This window comes from Homo sapiens, chromosome 3, assembly GCF_000001405.40.
Source record: "Homo sapiens chromosome 3, GRCh38.p14 Primary Assembly".
Lineage (NCBI taxonomy): Eukaryota > Metazoa > Chordata > Mammalia > Primates > Hominidae > Homo > Homo sapiens.
Genome location: NC_000003.12, coordinates 161,213,283 through 161,230,829, shown reverse-complemented (window position 1 = coordinate 161,230,829; position 17,547 = coordinate 161,213,283). Strand labels below are relative to the sequence as shown.

The following is a 17,547-nucleotide window of genomic DNA, read 5'->3' as shown; positions in this document are numbered from 1 at the left end:
ACAAAAGAAGGAACCAGAGGAGAATTCCCAGAAGCTCCCACTCAACACCTTCCCTGCTGTTACCACAGATGAATTATCCATACTCCCATCAAGATCAACCTCCAGAATGCCCCTCTAGAGAGCAGAGATCTTTACTTTGTTCCATGAAATATTACAGCCTCCCAAAATGGTGCTTGGTGAAGAGTAAGTGCTGAATACTTGTTGAATGAAGGAGTGAATTAACAAATAAATGTATTCTTTCACTATGTACTATATCTCTTTTCCACTTATTGAGGCCACCCCCCAGCCAATTATTCTTCTCCCTGCAATTTCACAAAAATTTCCCTCCGTACTCTAACACTCCCAGAGAGCTTACAAATACAGTTATATATACCATCTTAAGAAATGTATCCTGGCCAAGCACAGTGGCTCATGCTTGTAATCCCAACACTTTGGGAAGCTGAGGCAGGAGGATCGCTTGAGCTCAGGAGTTCAACACCAGTCTGGGTATATTGTGAGATCTCTGCTCTACAGGGCCAAAAAGAGAGAGAAAGAGAGAGATCTCACCTCTAGTAAAAATAAAAATCAGCCAGGTGTGGTGGTGCATGTTTGTAGTACCAACTACTTAGGAGGCTGAGGCAGAAGGATCACCTGAGCCCAGGAGTTTGAGGCTGCAGTGAGACATGACAGCGCCACTGCACTCTAGCCTGAGCAATAAAGCAAGACCTTATCTCCAAAAAATAAAATAACATAAAAAGACAAGTGTCCCTTCCCCAACTTCCCCTTCAACCACTGCCCCATTTCTTTGTTTTCGTTTACAGCAAATCTCAAAAGAACTGTCTATCTTCCTTCTCCCATTTTAATTTCTATTTAAATGACATCTTTACCACCACCACTAAACAGAAATTGCCCATGTTATTAAGGTCGTCCACATTACTAAATCTACAGAACTCATTACTTGACTCATCAGCTGCAAATCACATAGCTACTCACTCCTTTCTTCTTAAAACACTTCCCTTTCCTCCCAGGACATCACACTCACCCTGTTTTCCTCCTACCTCCTAGCAGCTCCTTTCAGTCTCCTTTGCTGATTCCTCCTCATTACCCAATTATTTCTTCATCATTACCCATTAAAGGAATGATTCCAGGATTCAGTCCTCCAGTTTCTTTCCTTCTCTATGTAAACTCCTGAAATAATCTAATCCAATTCATGACCTTAAATACTATCTATATCCTAAATTCATTATCTCTAGACTGGACCACTCATTGGCTTATTTATCAACCTGCCTACTCAGTATTTCTACTTAAGTGTCTAGTAGACATCTAAATACCAGTTACAGATGAACTCTCATGCCCCCTACCCAGTGACTTGGCTGCTCAGGTCACGAACAGTGGAAGGCATCCTTAACTCTTCTGTCTCTTACAAAAACACATCCAGCTACATCAGTAAATGTTACTACCTTAAAAATAGATCCAAAATCTGTCCACTTCTTACCACCTCCATTGCTGATCCAAAACCATTTCTCATGATTATTACAAAAACTTAAACACCTTTACCTCCCTTACAACCATTCTAAAAACAGCAGCCAGAGGAATACTAATAAGTCATGTCATCTCACTACTCTGCCCTTCACCCTCTATACTCCTTACACTCAGAGTAAGAAACAGCCCCTATAAGGGCCTACAAGGCCAGACACACTGTGGCCTTCCATGACTTTTCTGGACTCTATCCCCAACTACTTTTCCCCTCACCACTCCGTTCTATTCACACAAGTATGCTCTTGCTTTTGGTCTCTACATTTGTTTTCTTTACCCCTAATGCTCTTCCTCCACATTTCTGCACAGCTTCCTCCCTTACTGTAATCTTTAGTGTTTACTCAAATGTCACCCTATCAGTGAGCCCTCCCCTAAACACCCTTACTTTAAATTTCAACTCTTCCATGCACAGTTCTTATCCTCTTCCTAGCTCCTTTCTCCACAGAATATACCTTTTAATATACCATGTAATATATCCACCTATTTTGATCGCTGCATACTAACATGCTGCTCCACACTGGCATGTTAGTGTGCAATTAGAATACACGCTTTCTAAGACAGGGATTGCCTTATTCACTGCCATATCCCCAACACCAAAAGCAGTTTGGCACAGAGTTGGTACTTAATAAACATCTGATGAATTAATTAATGAACTGTTAAGACTCACTAGACATTTGACAAAAACCCCAAGTATAAAAGCAAAAAACCAAGACACACAAAAAACTGACTTCATAAAAAAACAGAGACAAATGAGGGAACAGAAAGAAACAAAAAAAGTCCTATTATCAAAATCTTCAGAAAAACTTAAAAAAAATGCATCAAGAACATGAAAGACTCTGGAACTTAAAAACATTACTACTGGAAAAAAACAATTCATTAGAAAGATTAGAAGATAAAGTAAAAATCACCAAGAACAGAGGGGAGCGAAAAAAACCAAAAAGGTTTTTTAAAATATGAAGGGAAAAAGACAAAGTTTTATGCCAGAAGCGCCAAAAAGTGACCATCAGAAATTTGTGGGGTTGGCTGGGACCTAGTAGGAAAATAAAGGCAGAAATTTCAAAGAACTATTACATGAAATTTTATTAGAGCTTAAAGGAGAATCAGAAAAGTCTTCAATCTGAAAGAGTCAATTTCAATTAAAAACATGGTAGAAGTGAGTCATAAAGCTTAAAATAAAGAAAACTCATAGTGTCAATCACTTTCAATTTTATATCAGGAAATAAACTGTACTTTAAACAAACTATTTTTTTTAATACATTTATGCACTGACTTTCAGTGACAGGCACAAATATTTTATTTCCAGATCAATAATGACAATAAAAAGAAACCAAATAACATAGCCCTAATATTATAATCCCAATTATGTTTAGTGATGGTTTTACATAAAAATTTCCGTTAAAAAATTATACATGAGATTCTCGATAAATAACAAAGGAAAAAAATTAAATTCTGTCTTTTTAAAGCAAAAAGATATTTTTACTTTTCATAAAAAGAATATATATAACTTTAAAAAGTGTTTGTAGTGGGGTGCTACTGGCAACAATAGTAACATTTAATAGTTACTTTCGAGGCCAGCATGGTGGCTCACGCCTGTAATCCCAGCACTTTGGGAGGCCGAGGCAGGCAGATCACGAGGTCAGGAGTTCGAGACCAATCTGGCCAACATAGTGAAACCCTGTCTCTACTAAAAATACAAAAAATTAGCCAGATGTGGTGGTGTGCGCCTATAATCCCAGCTACTTGGGAGGCTGAGGCAGGAGAATCGTGTGAACCCGGGAGGCAGAGGTTGCAGTGAGCCGAGATCACACCATTGTACTCTAGCCTAGCCCAGGTGACAGTTCAAGACCCCACCTCAAAAAAAAAAAAAAAAAAAAAAATTCCTTTTGAAAAACCTACTCACAAGAATTTTCTGAAAATGAGACCTTTAATGAAAACATACCTATGAATACTGATTTTAGCTGTTTAACTTACCTTACTCAGAGGGGCTTTGATTTTTTTCAAGCACAAAGCAAGAAGTTCCCTGGATTCTAAAGCACACTGTATCCAAGTTCCTGGTGGTTGAAAATACCTAAAAGAGAAGATAACATACTGAAATCCAACATCTGTCAGGAAACACAGAAATTTCCATCTGAATACACAGATATAACCCAAATTATTAACCAGGCATAATAAAACCCAAGGATGATATGAAGCACTTAACTCAAACATATTTTAATGGTTCCAAAACTTTCAACTAGACTAGCAGCTTTAATTAAAAAGGTAAAATTCTGACTGAGAAAGTCAATCTGAAATAACCTACTAAAGTGATCTTATTACTTTAATCACCAAATCACCACTAAAATGTCCAAGAGTCTCTTAAAGCTATGCTCTGAAAAACAGGTGAGAATCATCTCAAAATGGCATTAAAATGGTTTATTATGTACTTCTAAAATGCCTGAGAACTGCTTATTTTTCACAAAAAAAAGGTACATTAGTACCTCACAACACTATAAATCAGCAATAGTTCAGTCTATTCATCTACATTTCAAGTCCTTTTCAAATTGTAAATTGTAAAACAACATTTAAAATCTTGGGTAAAACCAGACTAAAACAAAACTTAAATCTCTTACATATGTGCTTTAAGGTTTTTAGTCCTGCCTACCCAGGACTTAGCACTATGCCACATACATCTTATAGTAGGTGTTCAATAAATGCTTGCTAAATATAAAATACTTCCAAACATGTTATGTGAATGTCTTTTTGCCATACTTGTTACATAACAGAAAGTTTTGACTTTCACTTTTCAAGGTTCAATCAAAAACATTACACAGGTCTCCCTTTGTTTATAAGTACATATTTATTTCGTATTTTTTTTTCCTTTTTTCTTTTGAGACAGAGTCTCGCTCCATCCCCCAGGATGGAGTGCAGTGTATGATCTCGGCTCACTGCAACCTCTGCCTCTCGGGTTCAAGCGATTCTCCTGCCTCTCGAGTAGCTAGGATTACATGCGTGCCCCACCACGCCTGGCTAATTTTTGTATTTTTAGTAGAGACAGGGTTTCACCATGTTGGCCAGTCTGGTCTCGAACTCCTGACCTCAGGTGATCCACCCGCCTCAGCCTCCTCAAGTGCTTGGATTACAGGCGTGAGCCACCAAGCCTGGCCTATGAGTAAACGTTTAGAGTTAGAAAGGGCTTCACATATCACCTAATAAAACCCTTCATTCTGATGAGGAAATTGAGGCCCAGAGATGATAAACAGCTAAGAGTTTCAAACAGCTAGTTTGTGAGGAAGCCAAGACAAACTAAGTCTGTTTAGTTCTTTATCAGTACTTTTCTAACTCCACCAGGCTTTTAATAGCAAATATTTATAAAAGATTAAGCCTCACACTTGCTAAGCTTATACACTGTAAACTCCCTGAAACAGTACACAGTTTCATGTGTTTGTGTATATATATGTATATATACACACACACACATATATATTTTTACATATATACACACACACACACATATATATACATGTATGTAAATATTTTGGGGAAGAGATACAGTTTTCAAATTCTCAAAGGAGTCCATGAACCACCCCTCTAGAGATACACACTCAAAAAGTTAGCGTCTTAATCCATTTTGGAAATAACAGGCATACACTTTTACACTCATTAGGCAGTTTTGTGTTACTCAATGGCCTAATAGATGTAAGTTGTTTATGCTGACAAAGAAAATCAAGAGGAATGAAACATTAACATTCAGAAGAAGTCTTCTTCCTTCAAATCCAATCTTTATTTCAGACCATTCCAGATATAATTTATTGAGCTTCTTTTCCATCAACAATAGTTATTTTAATTACACGTGAATGTTATGAGTTTTTAAAACATATTACTAAATTACTCCAAACATAAGCTTTTTATCATACATGGCTTCTAATAACTAAAGAAAAAAAAACCTCATAATAACAATATGTCCTCAATAATCTGCTCTCACCCTTACAAACATCAACTCCTATTAACTATATACATCAAATCTATTAGATCCTTTAACAGAAGAACAGATTCAAATACATTTACACTATCTTTACCAGATTAGAAGGACACACTAGAAAAGTACACTATAAAATTGCAAATTCTAAAATCTTTGGCGACACCAACAGAAAATTTAAACCTTAATTGCATGCACTTTACTCCATATACCTTCGTGTAATCTCAGCATATCTCGGTGGTTCTCTAAATGTAAATTCCAACTTTAAAAAGAGCAAAATTGTACCGCACTGTACCTTTGACATTGTTTGCAGAACGAAATCGAGACTTGTTTCGGAATACCTTGGCTGATGTCCACTTTACTTCGCAAACAGGCCACACAAATATTGGCAGGATTTGGACTTATCGGAACACCACACTCACAGCACAAGCTTTAATAAATAAAGGATAAATTTTTCACATTAGATTTTTAAAATACACTAAATTTTTTTTTAGATGCCAAACAAACAAAAGCCTTCAAGTTAGGCCACAGCATCTTTGCCCTTTTCAAAAAAATAACAGAAACAAAGCAACCTGGGCCAGCCAGTGGCTCACACCTGTAATTCCAGCACTTTGGGAGGCTGAGGCGGGTAGATCACCTGAGATAAGGAGTTCAAGACCAGCCTCGCCAACATGGTGAAACCCCATCTCTACTAAAAATACAAAAATTAGCCAGGCATGGTGGCGCACGCCTGTAATCCCAGCTACTTGGGAGGCTGAGGCATGCATATCAAACCCAGGAGGTGGAAGTTGCAGTGAGCCAGATCACGCCACTGCACTCCAGCCTGGGTGACAGACCAAGACAATGTCTCAAAAAAAAGAAACAAAAAAAAGAAACAAAGCAATCTTCAAAGATGCAGTAGATAAAGAATAACCCTGTAATACAGGGGCAAAAACACCAAAAATGGCTATAATTCTAAAAATCCTCAATATAAGGCCGATGTCCTAAAGGTTCTAGAAGGTCAGTACTGTCCAACAGAATTTCATGCCACGACAGAAATGTTCTATTCTGGTCTGTACAACAAGGTAGCCACTAGCCACATGTGGCAACTGGGACATGAAAAGTGACTAGTACAACTGAGAAACTCAATTTATTTTTTTAATTCAAATTTACATTTAAATAGCCAGTATGGGTCTAAACAAGTCTTTTTTATTAAAAGCAAATGAAACTATATTGTCACATTAAAACAAATGGAGGTATATTGATGAAGAATACAAATCTTGCACTAATTTTAATTTTAGATACTGAAATATAATTAAAAATGTTAACGTGCTCTTTACCACACCCAACCAACACTATCCATAAAGATAACATTTATTAATAATTTGTATATATCCTTCCAAACATTTTCTATGCAGACACAAACATTCACATTAACTTTTACAAATAAACAGATAAACTTCCCAACCACAAGTGTAATAGCAAACTTGGGAAAAATTTGAGAAGCACTGTTATTCATTATCCCTTGTTGAAAATTGGAAAACCAAGAAAGAATCAATTAACAAGGCAATAGTGTGTCAATGGCAAAAACCAAAAAGAAAATCCTGTATCAAGAATATGTAAGATCAGTTTGTCTCTTTTTAATTCAACCACCTCATCTCTAAATACTAAGTCTTCAAAAATCTATTTATTCAGGGCATACAGAGGACCATAGCTTAGGTGAACAGTATGGTGTCACTACATTAAAAGACTACAGCTGTCTACTTATCTCTAATGAACATTTCTTCAAGTATATCTCTGGACTACACCAATAGAAACTAATATCTAAATCATTTCTAACAGAATCAGACGCCAATATACTCCAAAGGCAATTAAAAAAAAAAAGCATAAGGACTGCTGAAATATAAACATTTACCCATAGCAGAATTTTTTTTTTAACAGTATAGGAAGTCTATCAACATCTAGAGACTCAGTATAAATGACGGAACTATCATAATTCGAGATGTACTGGGGGCAGAAAAAGTCTGAGAACCCCTAATGTAGAACAACATTGTCCAAAATAAAAGTTCAATAATCTTCCATGTCCAATGGTAGCCACTAGCCACATGTGGCAACATGGCTAGTACAAACGAGCAACCAAGTATTTAATTTTATTCCATTTAAATTAATTTAGGAAACTTCCAACTTAAACTGCTTGGGGTTTATGTTGACAGAGTGGAGCCAGCGGTACCACCTGGAAAGAAAGCAGTTCCTGACAGAGCTAACCAGGCTCTTCCAGAAGTGCTGGTTGTCCGGAGGGAAGTATAATGGTCAAACAACCCATTCCAAGAAAGGGTTCTGTGAAGGGCTTTGAGCCCTTAGACAAGTGTCTGTTAAAAGCTACTGATAGAACAAGGAAGATCAGCACTATGCTGAGCTCCAAAGACATTTTCAGATGGCTTATTCAAACCCACTGAGCTAACTGATGGACAAGGGAAGAGTAAAGCATCACAGGGAAGGGGGCCAAATTTCCTGCTTTCACTAACCACTGAATTCCTATTTTTCCTTTGGTTTTTACTTTTGGCCACAAAGCTAGTTTCTCCATAGTTACTGTTTTCCTGTGAGATTAGGGTCATTCTAGACAGAAGGACTACAATGTTTACAGGGTAGTTGTGGTAAGAAGCCAATTTATTTTAGATTTAGCTAATTGGTCTGTGCTGAACGATTCCAGGATTATCGTTTAAAAGTCTCTGTAGTAATCTCTTTGAAGAGCACTGTATCATTAAACCTATTTAACAGCAAAAAAAAAAAAGTTAATTTGAACTTAAATGCAAGAAATTAAAAATTGATAACTAAGATTTAAGATGTTCAAAATTTAAAAATTACTACATTATAATCTCCAATAAAAATCAGGAAGTCATCCGAGCTACTCGGGAGGCTGAGGCAGGGAATTGCTTGAACCCGGGAGGTGGAGGTTGCAGTGAGCCGAGATCACACTACTGCACTCCAGCCTGGGCAACAGAGCGAGATTCCGTCTCAAAAAAAAAAAGTAAGTAAAAAGTAAATTTAAATAGCCACACGTAGCTAATGGCTACATATTGGACAGTGCCGATCTAAAAGGATGTATGGTAAATATTTTAACCCTCTTAGAGCTTATATTTACTAGAACAAGCTTTATAACCAGAAACTAATTCGATTTTCTACAGAAATAAGACTTCTATTTTTTCCCATTTATGACAATATACGCTCTTTCCCACCCACCCTCAAGCGTTCTCCATAGTGAGTTTCCCGGGCTCACTGAAGATTTTCACATTTAAGGGGGAAGGAAGAAGTGTCGCACTCACATGTGTCCAGGGCTGCGGTCGGTGGATTCTGCCATATACTCCATCGTTCTGTATGCCTTAAGTTCTTTTAAAAAAAAAAAAAAAAAAAAAAAAAAAAAAGAGAATGTTGGGATTTAAATCACTTTACCTAGTCTCCTCTTTTTACGTCTTCCTCCAGTCTCTCTGAATAATTAATATATTCACAGAACTTCGAAAAAGCAGGAAAGAAGGAAACCCAACTCCACTGGGTAAGTTCGTTAAAAAGAACTTTAAGATGAGGACCATGGGATTTCCTGAGCTTCCCAGCTGCAAGACCCTCGGGCCACCCAGCTCTGCCGCTGACCTCCATCTCACCTGGGCTCCAACCCTGGACGACCAAGGGCGAGGTCAGCTCGGGATTGTGGACGCCCGGGCCCTCCCGCTCTCCACCAGCCCAGGGACCGCACCGGACCACCGCGCCTCAGACCCACGCCACAGGAGTCTCCGGACGGCGTCCCGGCGCCCGAGGGCCACCCACGCCGACCCCCAACCCCGGGGCGCGACCGCACACGGGTTCCGGGCACGCGGCGCTCACGCAGACTGAGCACGGCCCCGAGGCCGGGGAGCCCGCCCCATCCGCTACTCAGGGGCCCGCGGCCGACAGCCCAGGTCTCGGACTCCGGAACCTACTTCGCGCCTCCAGACCAGCCCTGGATTTGCTGAAAACCCGCAACAAAATAGACCCCGGCTGTCCCGTCAGCTGCCAACCTGGCTGTCTCCGCCACAGAGAAGATCTCGCGAGCGAAATGCTCGAAATCCCGCGGCCCGAGTGACGTATTAAAAGGGACGGGGTGGGGACGAGGAAAGGGGCGGCACCGACGGGCGGAAGGGTGATGGGAGCGGCCTGGTGGCTGGGAAAGCTCGCGGAGAGAAGTCCCAGGGGCTCATTTGCCGTCAGTGACTGCTTTTCAGTTATCGTCTCGATTTTCCCAGGCCAGGGTTTACTCCAAACCAACCTCGCCCGTATATTAGTCTCTTTTCAGCTATCCCGACTGTGAGCTTGCTTCTTGATTAAATGATTATTTTATATAAAAGTTATCTGTAAACGGTACCTTATGCAAAGAAACTCCATCCAGGGCAGTGCCTTTTGTCTGTTTGGTTCACCGTCATATACAGGCCTGATGCCTGCCACATGCTAACTGCTCAAATGATTATTTGTTGAAAGAATGAAATGTAAAGCATAATTATCTGTGAAGAAGTCTATGCGATTTTTAGACAAATTATTAATTATGTGCTTCCGGATAGTGCATTTAATATCTTCTTATGACTGATTTATCCCTCAAACTTGGAGCAGCACAGACCGTGTCTAATCTGTCTCATGACAGCCTTTCAAATATTTGAAGAGTACAACCATTTTTTTTTCTAAATCCTCTCATCCCAAATTTCAAGGAATAAGCAAAGGCGTTTTGTAGAGGGTGATCAGAGACAGCCTCTCATCATTTCTTGCCCAGAATACTTAAGTAGCCTCTCGTCTGTTGTCTCTACTTGTAGACTTCAATTCATCCTTCTGAAATGCAGTTCTGATTTTGTCACACTCCCCTGCTTTTAATCCTTCAGTGGCCTCTGATTACCTTCAGCATTATTTCCAGTTTCTTTGTGTGGAAAGAAGACCTTTCAGGATCTGATCTCCACATATCCTGTCCTACTCCCAAGCACACGTACTCGCAAGCCATGAAGACCAACTGGCAGGTCCTCACAGAAAATAGTCTTCCTTTGCTTCTACCCGGGACTCGGCACTAAAGATTAAGCCTGAATTAGTTTCCTAGTGCTGCTCTAACAAATTATCACTGATTTAGTTGGCTTAGAAAACACAAATTTGTTCTCTTCCAGTTCTGGAAGCTACAGGTCTAAATAGATGGTGAGGGCTGACTCTGGAGGCTCCAGGAGAAAATCCATTCCCTGGCCCTTTCCAACTTCTACACGCTGCCCACATTCCTTGGCTTGTGGTCCCACATCATTTTGCAGTCAGAGTCTCCTTTTCTCACCCCCACCCCCCCGCACCCCTCTTACAAGGACACTTGTGATTTCACTGGGCCCAACCAAATAATCCAGAATAATCTCTCCATCTCAAGAAATTTAATCACATCTGTAAAGTTCGTTTGCCATGTTAGGTAATATATTCACAGATTTCAGGGAATAGGACATCTTTGCAGAGCCATTATCCTGTCCACCATACATCCTCTCTTTTCTGACTCCTTCGGTCCCTAAGGGCCAGAGGAGTTACATGCTCCTTCTGTATATATGGTTCTATGATAACACCTTTATACGAGGTATATGCCTCTATAATAGTGCTTTGAATTGGATCATAAATTTTCTACTCTGCATGCCCAGCAGTTTCAAAACCCTGGAGAGCAATTCGGGTCTTGTTCTTCTTGGTGCACCTAGCACAGCAGCTGACACAAAACAGACCCTCAATATATATTGGTAAATTAATTATCCATTTAATACCCACCACAACTCTGAAGAGACAGTGTTTTTCTCCCCGTTTTTTCTATTCACACTGCCTATGCCCTCAACCAAACACCACTAGGAACACAGCTGTAGTTAAGCAGCTTCTGTCTATTTATTACTCTTCGAAGTGAGCCCAGACACTCACCATGGATACCCTTTGGGTATCTCAGTAAGAGGGTGTTTAGAACAAACCTATCATAGGATTGGGGCTTTGGGCGGGTGTTTTCGGGGAGGCCCTAAGAAAATAGAGGTTTTTCTATAGATTGGATGCTGTCAGAAAGCAGGGGCAATTCTGTGATTGGATGTCTCAGTAAATCTTATTTACACAAAGGGAAGCAGGAGGATAAAGCTGCAATTAGCAAAGAAGTAGCAGTCACTCATTTTGGTGAAGAAAGGGAATGTTTGGTATTTTGTGGGTGGCATAGTGAACTTATTTTGGTCTGTGCTTAGACAAAATTATGAAGTGACCTTCTTTGCCTCATTTTATCATGGTTTCAGAGTAATCTTGTCTGAGTTTAGTATTCTGTGAAATTATTTCTGTCTAATAGGAAAATATTATGGCATAGCTGCAAGTACCAGACCAGCTTCTAAATGTCAAAGGCTGCTCATTTTTTAACACATTCCTTCTACAATTATTTGATTTGGCTCTGAATACCAGGCTTCTTAAGCACTTGATGTATGATAATAACAGCACAGATATGGTCCCTGCCCTCATGGACCTTACATATTACAGATGAGGCTGGATTAGATTAGGCAATTTGTTGAAAGTCCTATAGCAAATAATTGATAGAACTGGGACGTGAAATACAGTTTGTTTCTGAACCCAGACCCTCACCATAGCAGCCTACCTCCCCTTCTGAGGCTGAGGCCGTCTATTCCTATCCACAACCTTTTGATAAATGAAATACTTCTGTAGTAGAAGGCACCTATATTTCTCTCTTCATCTGCCAGCCCCCACCACTAAGATTTCCAGATGTCAAAAGTAAGTTCTTGATTTCAACTACCTCTCTCATGAGCCTGAATGAGCTTGCTAGGATTGGACTGAGTGGGATAATATTGGCAAACAATACCAGAGGGAAACTCACTTTGCACTTTTTATTTAACCTCAAATCTCACCTGAAAATAATAGGTGAGATTATTTTCAGCTCCCATAGTCCTTGCACTGAGGATATCTATCTGTATTCAAATCTAAGCCTTAGTATATGTTTACAAACTTCATTTCTATGTGTTTAACCATGGTATTAAAATGGAATTCCTGGCCGAACATAATGGCTCATGCCTGTAATCCCAACACTTTGGATGGCCAAGGTGGGAGGATCGACTGAGGCCAGGTTATCCTGGACAACATGTTGAGACCCCCACCTCTAAAAAATAAAAAATAAATATAAAACAATCAAATTAGCCAGGCATGGTGGTATGCACCTGTAGTCGTAGCTACTCAGGACACTGAGGCAGAAGGATCACTTGAGCTTAGGAGGTCAAGGCTACAGTGAGCCAAGATTGCACTACTGCACTCCAGCCTGGGTGAAAAAGGGAGACCCTGTCTCAAAAAAAAAAAAAAAAATCTGCTAATCAATGAAATAATGAAATTCTACACAGAACTTTCAAATGCATACTGTGATATTTTTCACACTATCAAATGTGATAGCACATTTGGGGATATCAAGATAATATTGGAGATTAGTGCAGGGGAGGTGTATTAGGGTATCCTCTTAGAATCAACACCTGTGGAATAGAAGGGCAGAAGCACCATTGGGCAGAAGGGAGCTGTGCTGCCGTGCAGTCTAGTGGAAGCCTCAGCTAACCCTGTGGGAAGCTCTGAAGCTGAAATGACCATTCTGAGTTTTCCCGAGGGGGACTTTGCTCATCGATGAGTCATTGGATGTGACTGTCCCAGGAAAAGGACATAGCATTGGGTGATATTTCTCTCTTCAGCCAAGGCAGTCCCAGAAGTAGATGAAACTGAGGGCTTTCTGCCAGCAGCACTCCCTGCTGTTGTGGGATAAGTACTTCATTCCTTGAGGGGGATCTGGGCAGTACCTCACAGCCACAGCATGCGCCATGTAGAAAGCAGTATGCCTAGGAGAGTCGGTGGAAGACATGGACTCTAAAGTCCTTGTTTCAAGTCTGAGATTTGTGACTGATAGATTCTGTGACCCTAAGGATTTGCTTTACCACTCTGAGCCTTTCTAAAAGCTCCTTTCCTCCTTTCTAAAACTATGTAATAATCCCTACCTCAGAAAATTGTTATGAGAATTGACTGAGATAAGGTACATAGAAGTGTTTAGTAAACTGCAAAATACTATAATGATTGTAGGCCCTGTTATTCTCTGGTGAAGATCCTTAATAGGAATTGAGTGAAGCAATAAGAAATGGTTTGTATCTGAAACAGCCAATGTATCAAATTTGAAACATTACACCTGCGATTCTGCTTCACCCTTAATTTACAATATAAAGACATCATTTAGTAAATGAAATAAAAATTTAGTGTTCACTTTGTAAAATTTGTTAGGGGTAGTGAATATCTGAGTTACTGGTGGCAAATAGATACAGGTCTGCAGCAACCTCAATTCTTGCCTTCTCGGCAGAAAGAATTTGACTGAGGGGCATAAGGCAGAAAAAGAGACTGAAGCAAGTTTCAGAGCAGGAGTAGAAGTTTATTTTAAAGCTTTAGAGCAGGAAAGAAAGGAAAGTACACTTGGAAGAGACCCAGGCAAGAACTGTGGAGGTCAAATGTGGTGTTTGACCTTTTGACTTGGGGTTTTATATGTTGGCATATTTCGGGTGTCTCCGCATTCCTTTTTTCATGATTCTTCCCTTAGAGTGGGCAGCCCACATGCATGATGCTGTCCTTGCGCTTGAGAGATGAGCAGGTGCAGTGTGTTTAAGAAGTTGTATGCATGGCCACCTGAGGCTTTTTTCCCTTTTCCGGTGGAATGCTCCCGGAAGGTCATATAACCAGTTAAAGTCTGCCATTTTACCTTTCAATGTACATACTCAAGCCCACTCGCCCAATTCCTGAGATTTTATTGGAAGTTGTTGATTACCAATTTCAAGTGTTTTTATCCATTGGGAAATTGCCTCTCCCTGGTGCCTGCAACCAATTATTATTTTTAGAAAGGTGATGTGACAACTGCCAGACCATCACCTGATGGTTGCCTGACATTCCTGGTGGGTAGGGGAAGCCCTCTCCTGTCCAGCTCTTGCCTAATTACCACTGTAACAGATTCATTCAGCTATACATTATAATCTGTGCCTATTTCTGCCTGTGTATTTCCTTCAACAAAAAGTTTTAAAAGTACAAATAATATGTTAACATAGAATCCCAGCAAATACAATAGAAAAGATGAAATAAAATTACGATAATAATACTTGTACAATTTCTCCATTATTACAAATTCCAAAATATGAGACTGAATTTATAATATTTTATTATAATTTTTAAAAGATGTAATCACTGAACAACCTCTAACTTTTACATGTTAGTGATGGGGGAGAATAACACTATGTATAGGTTGAGTATCCCTAATCCATAATCCAAAAATCCAAAATCCAATATGCTTCAAAATCTGAAATTTTTTGAACACTAACATGACACTCAAAGGAAATGCTCATTGAAGCATTTCAGATTTGGGGTTTTCAGATTTTGGATTCTCAATCAGTAAGTTTTAAACCAAAAAGTATCTGAGACAAGTCTCAATTTAGAAAGTTTATTTTGCCAAGGTTAAGGACGCACCTATGACACAGCCTCAGGAAGTCCTGACGACATGTTCACAAGGTGAACAGCTTGCTTTTATACATTTTAGAAAAACATAATACATCAATCAACACATGTGAGATTTACATTGGTTCCATTTGGTAAGGCAGGACAACTTGAAGAGAGGTCGTGGGGAGCAGGGTGGTGGCAGTGGCGGGGGGTTCCAGGTCATAGGTAGATTTAAACATATTCTGATTGGCAATTGGTTGAAAAAGTTTTTATCAATAGAAAGGAATATCTGGATTACAATAAGGTGTTGTGGAGACCTAGGTTTTACCAGGGAGATGAGGCGTCCAAGTAGCAGGCTTTAGAGAGAATAGATTGTACATGTTTCTTATCAGAGTTAAGGTCTGTGTTGACATTCATGCTGGAGGATTATAATGACACTTGTTATGCAAGTCTCAGAGTCCGAAGGTTGAGTCTGATGTCCAAGGGCAGGAGGAGAGGAAGTCAAGTGTCCAGCACCACACAGCGGGAGAGAGAGAGCCCAAGCAGACTCAGCAAGCGAGCTACTCATCCCTCTTCTTCTGTCTATGTTCCAGCCACTGGCAGCAGATTGCATGGTTCCTACCCACTCTGAAGGTTGTTCTTCCCCTCTCCCAGGCCACTGACTCAAATGTCAGTCTCTTCTGACAACACCCTCACAGACACACCCAGAAGCAATACTTCACCAGCCATCTACACATCCTTCCATCCAATCAAGTTCATACCTAATATCAACCATCACAGATGTCAATTCTCCTAAATTTGATGTCATTTTAATGCAATTCCTATCAAAATTCTAGCAAGAGTTTTTTGTAAATGTACAGAAGATTATTCTAAAATTTATATGGGAAAGTAATGGAACTAGAACACCTAAAACAATTTTAAAAAAAAGTGGGAAAAATTATTCAACTTAGTTTTAAGACTTATTATGGGACTACAGTAATCAAGATTGTTTGGAATTGGTGAAAGGATAGACACACATCAGTGGAAGAGAATAGGGAACCCAGAAAAAGACCCTCCAAACCAGTGTTCAATGGATTTTGACAAAACTGCCAAGCCAAGTCAGTAAAGATAGCCTTTTCAACTATAGCCAGTGGACATACAGAGGGAAAATAATAAACTTCAACCTAAGTCTCACATCTTAGATAAAAATTAACTCAAAATGGATCATGAATTTAAAGCAAAATGTAAAACTAGAAAACTTTTAGAAAAAAAAAAGAACATTTTTACAATCTAGAACTAGGCAAAGAGTGCTAAGCCCTGACTTCGGAAACAAGATCCACAAAAGAAAAACTGACAAGTTGGAGTTCATTAAAATTAAAAACTTTTGCTCTGTTAAAGGCCCTGTTAAGAAGATAAAAAGACAAGCCAAAGAGTAGCAGAAATATGTGCAAACTGTATTCAACAAAGAACTAGTATCTATTAATAAAATAGATATAAAGAACTCTCAAAATTTAACAGAAAATCAAGCAGCCCAATTAGAAAATTGGCAAAAGATATGACAACATTCCACTGAAGAATGTATATAGAAGTCAAGCATACATGAAGATGTTCAACAATATTAGTCATGAGAGGTATACAGATTAAAAACACAATAAAATATCACTGCCTCTATTGGAATGGCTAAAATAAAAAATACTGATAACACCAAATGGCAAGAATACAGAGAACTGGATCACTCATTCACTGCTGGCAAAAATGTAAAATGGTAGAGCAACTCTAGAAAAAATTTGGCAGTTTCTTATAAAATTAAACATGCAACTACCATATGACCTAGCAATTATACCCCTAGGTATTTATCCCAGTGAAATGAAAACTTGCACATAAAAAACTGTACATGAAGAGGGTGGCAGCTTTATCCATTATAGTCAAAAGCTGGAAACAACTTGGAAACAACTCAGATATCCTTCAGTGGGTGAATGGTTAAACAAACTGCAGTACATCCCTACCACGAATTCTTTTGTTTGTTTGTTTGTTTGTTTAGGCAAGTCCTCACTCTGTCGCCCATACTGGAGTGCAGGAATGCAATCTCTGCTCACTACAACCTCACCTCCTGGGCTCAAGTGACTCTCCCACCTAGTCCTCCCAAGTAGCTGGAACTACGGGCATGCAATACCATGCCCAGCTAATTTTTGTATTTTTTTTGTAGATATGGGTTTCGCCATGTTGTCCAGGCTGGTCTCAAGCTCTTGGACTCAAGAGATCCACCCTCGTCAGCCTCCCAAAGTGCTGGGATTACAGGGGTGAGCCACTGTGCCTGGCCTATATAAAGTTATTGAATAGACAAATTCATAGAAAAGGGGGATGGATTAGTGGTTGCCAGAAATTACGAAGGGACGGGGGTATGAGAGCTATATCTATGAATGGGTAATATGAGGAATCTTTATGGTGATGGAAATGTTCTGTATTTTAGCTCTGTCCATGTCAATATCCCAGTAGTTACATTGTACTATAGTTTATAAGATGTTATTATTAGAGGAAAATGATCTCTCCATATTATTTTCTACAATTGCATTTGAATCTAAAATTATTTCAAAATTTTTAAAAAGTTTAATTTTTTAAAT

General features: G+C 39.3%; 1 protein-coding gene and 1 pseudogene across 5 annotated transcripts in view, besides 4 other annotated features; one reads left to right on the top strand and one right to left on the bottom strand.

The window, feature by feature from the left end:
* NMD3 (NMD3 ribosome export adaptor) overlaps window positions 1-9,728 on the bottom strand; it is a 32,431-nt gene extending 22,703 nt beyond the window's left edge. For 3 of the 5 annotated variants that reach the window (XR_007095682.1, NM_001320227.2, NM_015938.5), the window contains exons 1-4: window positions 9,421-9,519; window positions 8,773-8,836; window positions 5,766-5,900; window positions 3,487-3,583 (exon numbers count right to left, since the gene is read on the bottom strand). Coding sequence is in view for 4 of the 5 variants with exons in the window: in NM_001320227.2 (NP_001307156.1) it covers window positions 3,487-3,583; window positions 5,766-5,900; window positions 8,773-8,816 (276 nt within the window). In the remaining variant the exon portion in view is untranslated. Of the gene's footprint in view, window positions 1-3,486; window positions 3,584-5,765; window positions 5,901-8,772; window positions 8,837-9,105 lie in introns of all 5 variants that reach the window. The other 2 variants (XM_005247511.3, XM_005247512.2) reach the window with 2 other exon arrangements.
* On the top strand, window positions 7,683-7,919 carry SRP14P5 (SRP14 pseudogene 5; annotated as a pseudogene).
* Window positions 9,157-9,356: a silencer, noted in NCBI's record as "silent region_14865". NCBI's record gives its function as "represses an Ori minimal core promoter by ATAC-STARR-seq in GM12878 lymphoblastoid cells {active_cell/tissue: GM12878}" and the evidence as "EXISTENCE:reporter gene assay evidence [ECO:0000049][PMID:35858748]".
* Window positions 9,157-9,777: a biological region, named in NCBI's record as "H3K27ac hESC enhancer GRCh37_chr3:160938841-160939342".
* Window positions 9,276-9,777: an enhancer, noted in NCBI's record as "H3K27ac hESC enhancer chr3:160938841-160939342 (GRCh37/hg19 assembly coordinates)". NCBI's record gives its function as "activates a minimal SCP1, AML or CMV promoter by ChIP-STARR-seq in primed H9 embryonic stem cells {active_cell/tissue: H9 hESC(primed)}" and the evidence as "EXISTENCE:reporter gene assay evidence [ECO:0000049][PMID:30033119]".
* Window positions 9,837-9,946: an enhancer, noted in NCBI's record as "active region_20768". NCBI's record gives its function as "activates an Ori minimal core promoter by ATAC-STARR-seq in GM12878 lymphoblastoid cells {active_cell/tissue: GM12878}" and the evidence as "EXISTENCE:reporter gene assay evidence [ECO:0000049][PMID:35858748]".